At 35.8% G+C, this 13,418-nt stretch overlaps 1 long non-coding RNA gene across 20 annotated transcripts in view; it reads left to right on the forward strand.

Moving 5' to 3' along the window:
- Positions 1-13,418, forward strand: part of SAMMSON (survival associated mitochondrial melanoma specific oncogenic non-coding RNA) — a 435,002-nt gene that overhangs the window by 65,334 nt on the left and 356,250 nt on the right. For 12 of the 20 annotated variants that reach the window (NR_186029.1, NR_186026.1, NR_186027.1 and 9 more), the window contains one exon: positions 6,555-6,644. This is a non-coding gene — a long non-coding RNA (survival associated mitochondrial melanoma specific oncogenic non-coding RNA). Of the gene's footprint in view, positions 1-324; positions 398-3,276; positions 5,539-6,554; positions 8,381-9,974; positions 10,468-13,418 lie in introns of those variants that run through there. The other 8 variants (NR_186014.1, NR_186012.1, NR_186023.1 and 5 more) reach the window with 7 other exon arrangements.

Here is a 13,418-nt window from a genome sequence, read left to right on the forward strand (position 1 = left end):
ATCCAACGTAAAATGCAGACTGACATAATCTTCTCATTATTATTATCTTTAATGCAATGTAATGTACTGAGCCAGAAAAATAATACTGCAGTTTGATTTCAGATGTGCTGTTTACATTGGTTGGAAACTAATTTAAAGAAGAAGACTCAAAGTTGGTGCTGATCAGCCATCTTTTATCAAGTTTGTGTATCATACACTTGTTCCATTTTTTTATTTTTTTTGCTATGTAAAGTCTTCTGAAAATTGAAAACTAATTTATTATCATGTAGTTATTAGCACAATCACAAAAGAGGTCACTGGTCTTTCCTTTAATTTCTGTCACAGGCTGCAGGCCGTATTATGCTAAATCAAGGATACGGGGAGATAATTAACATAGCAACTCTGGCAATTTTAATAGGTGAGTGATGAACATTTAGAGTTTGGCTTCGAAATCCATGTCTTAATTACCACCCGCCTGCGTGCAGTGACGAGGATGGGGCTCTAGCACACCTATTACAGATACAGTCTGTTGGGCCAAAGTTTTCATGAGTTGTCCATAAAACTATTATTAGATTGAGAGACTTCAAGGCAAGAAAGAAAGAAAAGTGCTTTGTGTTTTGTTTTTTTTAGAAAAAAAAATGTGAGAAATCTGAAGCCATTCCAATGTGTGCCTCTTTCAGAAGTATCCACTCTACTGCAAGAGTTCTCCCTGGGGGGCTGTTGTCCTCTGTGGGACATATGGTACCGTCTAGAGACATTTTTGGTTGTCACATCTGGGGGAGGATGCTATTTGCATCTCGTGGGTAGAAGCCAGGGATCCTGCTAAACCTCCTACAATGCACAGCACAGCCACCCCCACAACACACACACAATAAAAAATTGGCCCCAAATGTTAATAGCGCCAAGGTGCAGAAACCCTGCCCCAGAACTGCCCACTCCATCCCTTGTTATTTTTCACCGCTGGTTGCCAACAGGTGTCACCGCAGGCCCATTTCTATCTGCAGCATTATCAAAGAGAGTCCATAAACTCTTGTAACATATGGAACGAAATCCCAACTGCAAAGCTTTTGTGGAAGGCAGTTACATGCTGGTGAGCTGAGGCCTATGTAACCAAAATTGATCAATTACACAAATTAAGCATAGCCCTTAAGGAATTTATTTTATTGGTCTGGACATCTGTTGCAGTATTGTCCAAATCCAAAACTCAAATGGTGCCTCGGGTTGCCAAGTTAGGCAAGAAAATCTAGTAGCTATAAAAGTACAACTGAAAACCCTATATTAATATCACGTCCATCTGCTGAATGTTACATAAATATGCAGACTTTTTATTTTCCTTGGGAATAACATTTATTTTTACAGTGCCCAGTTTGACATTCTTATGACATTCTGTTCAGTTTATTACATTGTAACTTCAAATGTTTCTTCAAAAATGCATTTATAATGTTGTTGTTAATCTTTTTTCAAGGGTCTGTACCACCTGTTTAACTTATAGTTAAATAGAGAAGTCCTTTTTCTTATAGGAAGAATGGGAAATCTTTGGACAAAGAGTCTCAGAAAAGATTTTGAGTAACACTTGTGTAGTGTAAAGGGAAATTATATAACAGCCATGAATGCTAATATTCCATCCTGCTCTTTTACAAGTTGAAATGTAATCTCCATTTTAAACTAAATTAGCATCATTTCCAAACAGAGTATCATATTTATATCAGATTTATACAACCACATCAGATTACTATTAACATGTAAAATAGTCTCTTTTATGCTGCTGGTAAAAAATAGATTGAAGAGAATGATTTGATTTCCACTTTAATGTCAGGGATTTAAATTAATCTGAGTGGACATGTTTAGGTTGAGAGTTGCTCCAACATTGAAGAAACAGCAGGTAGGGGCGGCTTTACCTTAAGAACCTGTTGTGATCCTGGCACGAAGAAAACCTTGCAGTTATAAAAGTACATCTGAAAATCATGATGTTCCTATCATGTCCATCTGCCGAATGTTAAATAAATATGTTGGTTGGTTATTTAAATATGTTCAGTGGCTAAGCCAACTGGAAAATTATAGGATATGTGTAGGAAAACTTAGAGGACATTTTTCTTCATGTTTTTCCCCTTCATTCTCAGTCTATATATTCAGGAAAACACTTTTTAGTAGTCAATTGTTGAAAGAATTCTAATCTAATAATAAGACCATCTAGAAGGGTCAGGGAAACTTAAAAGCAAAACCAGAACTGAACAAACAAACAAACAAAAAAACCAAGGCAAACAAAACTTGGCACAGGTATCGGAGAGATTTCCTTACGGTATTTTCCATTTTAAAAGAAGAAAAAGATAGATAGAATTTTATCAAATTTATTTTAAAAGAACACTTTTAACTGTAAAAGTGGTTCATGTTTACTATGGGACATTTAAGTAATATGAATCTAAAAGTGTATTCAAATAATTTAATTTTAAAATTTTAAGTGAAAATATATTAACCCATAATTAGATGGGTGGGAGATTCAAGAAAAGGGTAACAATAGGTACTGGTTTTTTTCTTACTAGAAATTCATGATTCATTGACTGTCATTTGTACCAGAATTCTTATATACCCCTCCACCTCGCCCCCACTTGGAACTAAAGAAAGGAGGGTTGTCTGGATAAAACCCAAATACATTCACTTTTAGGGAAACACATTTCCATTGTAAAAGAAGATAAACTTTCAGGGAAATGAGGAAGATGTCTGAGAGTCTGAATTGGTCAAGAAGGCAAGAAGAGCCAGTTTCTTGTCATTTATGCATTGGTGGACTAATCCTGTTTGAAATAAGATAAGCTGCAGCTGTGCCTGTACTGGAAAAGGAGGAGCATAACTCCTGCAATGTCACCTGCAAAGAATTTTCATGCCAGAGGTTGCCTTATAGTAATGTGGGGTGAATAACTCATTGAGGTAGGGTGACATAAAGGAGCATCTACCATGTACATGGGAGACCTGATTTTTTGCCCTGCTTTTGCTACTGTCATTTCCAAATCAAATCAGTTATTCCATTTTTAAAATAACCAACATGGAAACTGTTTCACAAAACAATTTGTAGTGGTGGGGGTAGAGTCTATAAAAAGGTATCCATATCTCTGAATTCAGCAGTTTATAAATATCTAGGAGGCCTTGTGATTTATATTCATGCACCCAGTTATGTAGATGGATGGTTGAGAAGAGAAGGTAACTTGCTTTTGGAGAGATAGACTCTAACTGGCCAAACTAAGAATAACTCTTTTGATTCCCAATAGTCTTAAAACCAACAAGCATTTTCTTTTCCTGTTATAGAACCGCTGCATTTATTGAAGTCATGAGCCCGTAGTCTATCTTTAGACTCCTGATGTAATTTCTGAATCACCAACCATTTCTGAGACCACAAGATATTTAAAAATAAGATAAGAAATATTGACTGAGACTCCCTGAAGCCTGCAAGGGAAACGAAGATACCGCGGCAGAGGTTTACAGTGGAATTTCTCTCCTGTAGTTCGTGCACATTGAAAATGACATGATCTATCCCAAGGAATAGCTTAAGACCTGATCCACTTAAACAGCTCCAAGTGATTTATCATAAATGTGCTTATTTGGAAGGTTTAGCAGTAACCGCTTATGGGAGGTGGTGGGGTTAACTACCAAAATTGTACATAACTTGGATCCTGTGTATGGCAATTAATCAAGAAATTATATTCTTTGACTTTCTAACAACCCACACAGAGTGCTACATCTGTGGCATGTTTAAAGAGAGAGCGAGGGATGAAATATTTCTTCTAATAAAATGCTAATGGCTTTGTTTTGGAGAAAAAATATTGGATTATTGTGGTGTTAGATTTATCTGTATGAGGATTTCTCGAGTCACAGTCAGTAAGTACTTCTGACAGAAAACCAGCTATGTCCTGAATACAATATCCCAGTCTTCTAAATGACTTCAGGATTATGGAGAGGCCCCTTTATAATACTGAAGAAAGAACACAGGAATAAATGGTGTGATAGAGAACTGTAGCAGTCGAAGTTATTACTGTGAGCATTTGTTAAATGTTCAAGAGTATTTATTTAACCCAAAGCACATTGGAATATGTTAATTAAGACAGGTGAGGCATCCCATTGATTTGTGGTGTCTCATGGGCATAACTTGCACCCACTTAGTTGCTCTAGTCCTTAGGTTTTCAAGATTTTGCGGGGATGCCTACTGTGGTTAGGAACCCAGAGCTCACTCCTTGGAGGGTTAGTTTCACAAATTCAATATCTGAAAACCTAAAAGTACCATCATCTAAAAAGAAAAATTTGGGGCAACAAAAGCGCCAAAGTATAATGTCATTTTCATTCCTATGATCCTTTGTGATGTGGTTCAAATGGCTTATTTTAATATTTCACTTTTCAATCAGTAGCTTTTTAAAAATGACAATTTCACAAATGCTTATGGAGCATCTACTTTGTGCCTACACTGGCCAAGAGACAGAAAGATGGAATAATACCTGACTTCTACCTTTTAAGATCTCATAGTGCAGCAAAACAGAGAGCTGTAGCAAATATTTGTAATGTGAAAAGAGCAACACTCATGAAACAGTCCAGTGCTGGACACTTACTGTAGTAGAGACACTGCATCAATGATTCTCTTTTACAGGCAAGGGAACTGAAGCTTGTAGAGAGGTTAGATCACACAGTTAACAAGAAGAGGGACAAGCATTTACCGGAAGCCCTGTGTGGTTCTGGATACTCACATAGTGCTTGCCAGACGCCCGGCATTGTGTTTAGGGCTTTACACTCATGACCTCACTCGGTCCTCATGACAACCCTATGCAGGGGATACTATAATTATCCCCATTTCACAGATGAGCAAACTGAGCTCTGAGAAGGAGCAACTTGACCAAGGTCATGTAGGTAATGTCAGAGCAGCAATTTGAATATAGGCTCTTGACAACTAAACTTTACTGCTGTGAGATGTAGAGGCATTTCTGCCTGGAGCTGCGGGAAGGTACAGAGATTAGGGCAAATAAATTATAAGAAGATTAGAAATATGGTCTTGATAAGGACTTTGAAGATAATGCTTATATCAGACTTCCTTCTGATCTGAGTCAATTGAAGGATGTATTTTTGAACCTTTCAGAAATCTCTCTATAAGTTATAGATCTGAATTTTAGTGAGAATCTATTCCATTCCTCGGAGTGCGAAAATCCAACACAATGTCTGGGAATTCAGACTTATAAAAATCATACAGAAGTAATTCTTAAAAAATCTTTTATTTTGAAGTAATTGTAGGCTCATAAGAGGTTGTAAAAATAAGAGAGTTATAGTATGCCCTTCACCCAGCTTCCTCCAAAGTTAACGTTTTATATAACCATAGTACATATCAAAAGTGGGAAATAGACTTTGACAAAATACTATTCATTAGACCACAGATCATATGGGGATTTCATTAGTTTTTAGATGCACTCTATTGTTTTGTATAGTTCTTTTCCATTTTATCACCTGTATAGATTTGTGTAACCACCAAGAAGTAATTTGTTTTAAGCTGGCATAAAGAAAAAATAAAATAAATTGTTTTGAACAATCTATCATTTTGTTGTATGGTATTGTTATGTTTAGGGGCTGCTTTGCCAAATATCTTACTCTTTTAAAATAATTTATGTTTTAATGGAATATTACCATGGTGTAAGAATGATTATTCATAGTAGAAAAAGGTTGCTAAAAAAAAAAAATCCCCTTGGGGGACATAAATTGATCCCATTAAGAAAAATAAGGTTTCCATATATTTATTACTTAAAGCTTACTTGTTAGATTTAATTTTTAAACATTTACAGATGGCAGTGATAGGCTCTTGATTTTTCTATGTATTTCTGTGTATCTCAAATGAGTATGAGCAATACTGTATTGAGGTGTATATTGAAAGACATCGTCTTATATTAACATGGGAAACTGTCTATTGCCATTCAGAGCTTTTTATTTTGTAGCTCTTGTTTGGAAGAAGGATATGGAGGTAAAAACCCAAATTTTTAGTATGTTCCTAAAAGCCCCAGACGTCTGAGCTTAAAAAGGGGTTAAATTTTAATGAAAACATACCCTCTAGTCAATGTGCTTTAAATTATAATTTTAAAAGCCAATCATTTTCTTTTTTGACTGACATGTGGCATTTTGGAGAAATTTTTAAATCTTTAAAATCTGTAAGAAATGAATTTGGGGGTCTTATAGGTATCGTATTTAGAACAGGGAAAAAAAAGGGATAGCTCATAGTGAAGGGGTTGAATTAAAATCATTTGTAATTATGCATCACAAAGAGGTACAATCACAGTGCATCCATTTATACGTGCATCTGTGCATCTGCCTCTGACCCCAGCTTTCTGGTTTCTGTCTCCTTTCTTTACAAAATCTTCAGTTATGCGTAGATGCACACATTAGAGAGGAAATTGGGGCTAATGATTTAGGAATGTGCTAATTAATTCTCATTATGTTCTATGAACCGAAAGAAATAGTGAAAGGTTGTCTGCATATGCGTATACACTATGTATATTTTTCCACAGTGTTTTCTTCTGAAGGAAAGTTATGCTGGTTTTTTTTTCTTTTTTTCTTTTTAGGTTCTTACACACAGTGACAGCTAGCAGAGTCTAAAATGCTGACATTATGACTTAGAGATGTGATAAAGAGAAACATCTATTGCATTTTCTGTAAGTAAATGTGGTGCCGGCATTGAGAGAACATACGTAATCAGATACCTGTTCTCCCTGAGTTTCTTAATTTAAGCCTCGCGATTCCTAATTAGCAGTTAGATTGCATCCATTGTTATTTTGTCTTTGGTTATCAATGATGATCAACCTTTGCTAAACAAAGATATGTCATCATGCTGGGGACACTCATGGATTTTTTTTTAAAGGTTTTAACATTTGATAATAGGTTTTCCAATAGCTTGAAGGGTAGCTTTTAACATTTCTTTTCCAGCTGAAGTATTTCCTGAGTTCTGTCCAAGCCCTCTGTAGTTAAAGAAAAGGCTTTTTGACACTGAATAGACAATGTTGTGGCTTTTTTTTTCCTTCTTCAGACAAATGTATAGGCATTTAGACCGCCACGTTGTACTCTCGTAATTGAGATACCTTGCAGAAATGGCAATTAAGGGTGACTCGTGTCAAAAATATTCAGGACAAATTACATTTTACTGATTTTTAAAAACTTTCAAAGGTACTCTCTCCTCTTTCTTTCTCCTTTCTCTCTTCCTGCCTCCCTCCCACCCGCTCCTCGTTTTTTCTTTTAAATATTAAGTAAACTATTTGCATTTTTACGTCTCATCAAAGTTGTTCCAGGTTTTTTCTGGGTTTACTGAAACTCCAAATCGACTACTCAGATCAAAACAATTAGTGAAGTCTAAGGTATTCTTAATTCCTGAAATGAAAACAGAATGGACGTTCGGGACGTTCTGTTTTGCTCTGGCTACCCGCTTGGCTTCTCGCTCAGAATATTCTTGCTCTCAAGTTAGTTCCAGTTCTGTTTATTTTGTCCTGAGCTCAGTGAACTTTCCAAAGCCCTACTCTTCAAACAACACTTTTTTTCCCCCGCCCCGTGAGCTGGAGTTTATTTTGTGCTCACCCTTCATTCTGTGAGTTGTGAATAATTTTAACACAAAGAAAAAAAAATCTCCTCCTGACCACGGAGAGAAGAGGGGATTTTAGAATAAAGATAAAAATTGCTGTTTTAGCCCCCAAAGCAAAGGACTTGGGAAAGAAGAGAAAAGGGGGGAAAATAGAACAGCAAAGGAAAAAAAAAAAAAAAAAAAACAGAAAAAAATTTTTTATAAGGGTGTCAGTACAAAACAGGTGTTTGATGAAGCTCAAGCAAAACAAATGACAAAGTTAGCATTGAAAGGCCAAATACGTGATACACATTTAAACTACTTAGGTAAATTTATTTATGAAATAAATATGCAGTTTTTCAAATTTGAACATGGAGCAAATGTTTACAGATTGAAACTTATCATTTCTTGATTACCAGTATGAAGTAGGGCAATAGTCCTATTGAAAGCCATTCTTAATTGGGCTCATTGTAAATGTTTGGTTAAAAGAAAAGATTAAAGTGAGCTTTGGCCTCTGTGGAATGCTGAGGCTGGTGAAATTTCTGGTTCTAGCATTATCCTCAAATTGTCTCACAGAGAATTATATTTTACAAAGTTAGAAGGCGGAAGAACCCTACTCTTTGTTTTAGGTTTGCCTAGCATCCAGTCAGAGATGGGTAAATAAGGACAGAACCATGGGACTCCAGTGGCCTTACTTAGGAGGCCCATACTAATGGCAACGGCAAGACAGTGCTACATAGACATAAATAATCTGTGATTGCAGATGTGCAGGTACAGTATAAAAAAATTATTCTATCCTTATAGTCTTAGGTGTTGGCACATTTCTTTTGAGCCCATGTATAGAAGAGGACAACATGAAAAATGAAATATTCAAGCCGTGGAGAAAAAGAAAATATATTGTTGTATTTTATTTATGGAATGCCCACTATGTGCTGGTTCTCTACTGGCCCTAGAGAAGTACAGCTGTGATCAAGACAGACATAGTTCCTGCCCCCATGGAGCTTACAATCTATCGCAGAGCTAGACCAGGGAAAAGAGTATGAAGTGTGTAGAATGAGAAGTAGAGAGTGTTACAGGAACACCCAGAAAACTAAGGTTATTGGTTTAGTTGATTTTTCCCCCTCTTTTTTTCTTCCCTCTTTTTCCTCTTCACCGTCTCTTTTCCTCTTCCCTTTCTTTCTCTCTTTCCCCTTTCCCTCTCTCTTTGTTCCTCTCTTTCCCTCTTGATCTTTATTTTCCAAACAGAATTCAGCCAAACTCATTTTTTAAAAGAGAAACAGTCTAACATTATTTAGAAAGAGCAGCATATTATAAGTGGTTACAGCCATAGACTTGGAAGGGTGTGACCCAGATTGGAATCCTGGCTCTGCCATCAACTAGCCTGTATTCTTACTCAAAAGATATTATCTGTGTCTTCTTTTATTAAAAATAGGGCTAGAAATATGTACTTTTAGGAATTTATAGGAATTTTAGATGTGACCTTGTAAGTAAAGTCTCTGGCTTCCTTTCTAGCAGGTAGTGATCATGCTAAAATCGTTAGCTACTACCATATTATTATTATTACTATTACTATTATTATTTTTCTTTTTATTTTGTAGAAGCAATGTCTGTATTATACAACAGCTAAAAAATAGTGAATGATGATATTAATCAATTGAAAGAATTTTCTCCAAAAACAATGACTAGCTTTGGAATTACGTAATTCTTATGTTTTGTTTTGCCTATTCACAAAAGCTGTTGTTTTTGAATGTTAAATATAAAAACCATTTTCAATAAATAAATTTTTAGATAAGATACTAGAGCCATATTATTTACAATTGTGTTGTCTTTTCCTGTGAACAGTTTTAGGATTAAAGCTTGAGCCAAATTTCAATGAGCCCCTTTAGGAGATAGGGAAATTTATTAATACTTACTTTGATTCAAGAGTGATTGAGACATATTTCTTAATGCACCCATATAGAGTAATGTGATAGATTTTTGTGTGTTTCTTGTGAAATCAGTTGTACTGTATTAGAGACAAACCCTATGCAGGTGTGAATATGTATTTATATAATTTGATAGTGCTAAAGCACAAATTTATATAATTTGATAGCACTAATTCAAAAATTAAAATTGTTATAAATTTGTCCTTAATCAGGACATTTAAAAATCAGTCTTCGTGAACACTTTTAGATTCTGGAAGTGCTCACACTACATCCCCATGTACAAAAGGTGAAGGTGACATAATCACATGTAGAATTTAGATAGCCTCCTCTCTGGTTTGTACATAGTGTGCATGTCCCCCACCTCCAATCCCAGCCTAGGCTTTAGCATCATTGAACATCTCTCTTCCAGGAATGGTCCATTTACTCACATGCCTTCTGTTTTGCTTGTGTGGTCTGATCAGCCTGAAATGCCTTTCCCTGTCGGGATGAAATCTTACTTATCTTTTCAGGTCTGGTTCCAGTGTCGTCTATGGTGTGATTCATCTCCCAATACCCCTGGGTGCAATAAAACTGGTCCCTTCTTTGTACCCCGTAGCTCTTTGTTCCTCTCCTCGTATGTGATGGCTGTTTGAGCATCTTTTCACCCCTCCACACCAGGAACTCCTCAGTGAGTTCTTGAGATCTATGCCCTATTCACCTTTCCAGAAAATTTGATTCCTGTCTTCAAGGAGTTTCCAGTCTGGGCAAGGAAGCAGACATATAAACATGGAATTACGTTGCAATTTGGAAAGTGATGTAAAACAATTATCTAAATTAGTGTACACAGATGAGCACTAATTTACTAAAGAATCTTGCTTTTCTCATATAACAACTGAGCAGTCGGCATGTAGGTGTAGTCTGTTTCTTAAAATAGCAATGTTTTCCCAGTCTTCATATCAATATTTATGTTGTTACTCATGCTCTGTTAAAACAAAACAAAATAAAACAAAATCTCTCAAATGACATTGTATATCTAATGTTAGTGATGGGGAATTTAGGAGTCTGTTGAAAATTGTGACACATAGCAGGACTGATGCTTCATACTCCAAACCAAATAAAGTTTCACTGGACCTTAGCTGTAAGCTAAGACTTTAAGTGCCACTTATTTGTTGAGTTTTGCCACTCTAAATTGCTCAGCTTGGCACAAGATCTTTAAAAGAAGTTATAGTTCAATTGGTTTGTGGTTTATTTTCTATTATATTAAAATGACCTGCTTATATTAAAATGACATGCCTTTCAAAACCTACTAGTGCTTTAAAACATTGTTGTAGTGATAAAAGATTTCCAAATGTTATTCTGAAAAGCAAGGAAAAGGATTTCAGACAAACTCATAGCGCAGTATAGTGGATTATGTCGAGCTCCTGGATGTAGCTATAAAATCATCTTTTCTTTCATATAAGCCTAGAGTTTTGGGCTTTTGGAAAATGTTTTCTATAATTGTTATTTTTCGATACCTGTTTTTTTTTTTTTTTAATATTCATTCTGAGGTAGTCCTATTACAGTAGGCTCATAACACCATAACTTTACCCATATATAGCCAGGCAAAGCTTTCTGCTGTTAAGTAGAACTTATGAATACTTAAGAGAAGCAAAGCATTGCTATTCTTGAGCAAATTCGGAGAGTTTAGAAACATTATTTTGAAATGTGCTTCCTTTAAGTCAGAAGAACTTAATTAAGTTCCCAGGGTTAATTGTTTCTGAAGTGTTAACATGTCATTTGTCTATTCAAACTCCAAAGCAAATCTAATACGGGATTTAATAACCTGTTTATGTGAATAGAAATTTAGGGTGAGGGTGGCGTGGGAGAAGAAGGAAAAGCTAATAGGCTTTTACCTAGTTAGTGGGTTTAAGGAAGAATTCTTTCTGTCTTTATTTGAAACAAAAGGTAAATCCTATGTTCAAAACTCCTTCTATTTGGGAGTATAAATTGGGATGACAAGGAAGTTTTGGAACAAAACAGTATTTTTACACTTTGTTCATTTCATATTTATCACTAGCTTGTTTGCTAATTTTCATTTGCAAGAGGCAATTCTTCCAGCTAACTGGGTGCCTCAATGGGCCACTGATTTCTTTGAAGTGACAGTCTGTAAATATGCATAAAAAAGGGATGCAATTAGCGTGTGTGTGGTTCAGTGCAGCCTGATTCCATTGGCAAGTTTACCCACAGTGTTGATAAGCTACATTATCTAGAAAATTGGCCGCTGAAAAACAGCACCTCTGATTGCCAGCAAAGGTTCCAGATAACAGGGTGCTGAAGAGAAATATAATTGAGGTTGAATATATTAACCAAGGTGTCACATGCTCCTTAGAAGCTCTAATTTATCAGCATGTTGGAATTTTTATTAACATTTGGAATGCGTTTCTACCACACTAATGAAGTGGAATTGGCAGTTCAGGTTTTAGTTATTGTCATTTCTGAGAAGTTAAATGTAATTTCTCGTTAGACACAGTTATGTAAATATATTTGTTCAGGGGCTGAAAAAAATTATACATTTTACAAAATACAGATATGTTGTTAAGAGGCAGTGTGACAAATCAGTGGTGGCTTGAGTCCTGAAAATCAGCCATGTATTTATGCTGCATTTTGTACATTACAGCTCTTCTTTGTGGGGGGAATTTGAGAGAAATGAAGGAAGCTTAATTTCATTAACTCTGTGACTGGCTCGCCTTTGTGAAAAACAGTTAAAATTAGCCACTGTTTTAGTAGGCTAGCACTTCTAAAAGGATTTTATGATTAAACTATTTTTTTAAATGAAAACTTGCTCAAATTATAAGGTGAATTAAGCTTTCATGGACGATATCTGCTTTTCTTTTTTCTATTCTTCTTGGAAATGCCCAAGATTTATATTCATTTTCTAATTCCAACAAATAGGTTTGAAAGATATTTGTTAACAAGACTATTAATTTCTATTATAAAAATAAATTGAGATGTGCAAATTTGAAATTATTTTAGATTGCATACATATGTGATAACACTATATGTTTTTTGAAGCAAGGAAATAAAAATCATAAACTTTGGGATAATGTTTCCTTGGGAATAAAGAGGAGGAAAGAGTCAGAGGTATCAGGGGAACATACACAGGCAGTTTCAGCTGTATATTAATAGCTACTAAGTTTGGTGATAGATTTTTGAGTGTCTGTTTTATTATGATAGTTCGTAATTACATATATGTAACATGTGTTTATATAGATCCTATATCAGAATATAAAACATTTTCAAAAGGAAATAACTCAATTTCTATTGACTCGTAAATTTTGTTTTCCCATGGAAATGATTATGAATTACAGTCTGTAGAGCACTGTGTATTTGTAACATGCTTAGTATTAGTTAATTGCACACATCTCCGACCTCAGGGAATGATGCCACATTTGTCCTCCATTAGTAATAGATACGCTGGTCACAAGGCATTGGTTCCCTAGAGACAAATGACCCACGGAAGAAATTCTCAGCTTTCCCTTTGCATTCACTCCTTAGCAACTGCCAGTCTTCTACTGTCCTATAGGGCTCCTGATTTCATTCCTTCTTCTTCTACTGGCTGCAACCACTCTTGGCATTCCTTGACCCCGTTTATCCCTGCTGCAATACTTCCGTGCATTTCACACACTTAACCTTTAGCCCTCAATGGTAAACTTCTCATCTCTATCACCTATCCCATCACATGTGTGTGGGGGGAAGATTTAGAAGATGGGGGTGGGGAGGAGTGGTGTTCCCTTTATTAGAAGGAACTTCTGGTTGGAATTGAACTTGACACAGGAGAATCTCATGCCCGTTGGACAGTTACTCTTAGGATACCCATTATGGTAGATGTAGTAAATTGTCGCTTAGCACACATTTTGCTTTTCTTCCAGTGTCACCAGTTAGATAGCAAAAATCTGTAATTCTCAGACTCTCTTGCAGCTAGGGTTCTGCAAAAA

This window comes from Homo sapiens, chromosome 3 (assembly GCF_000001405.40).
Source record: "Homo sapiens chromosome 3, GRCh38.p14 Primary Assembly".
Lineage (NCBI taxonomy): Eukaryota > Metazoa > Chordata > Mammalia > Primates > Hominidae > Homo > Homo sapiens.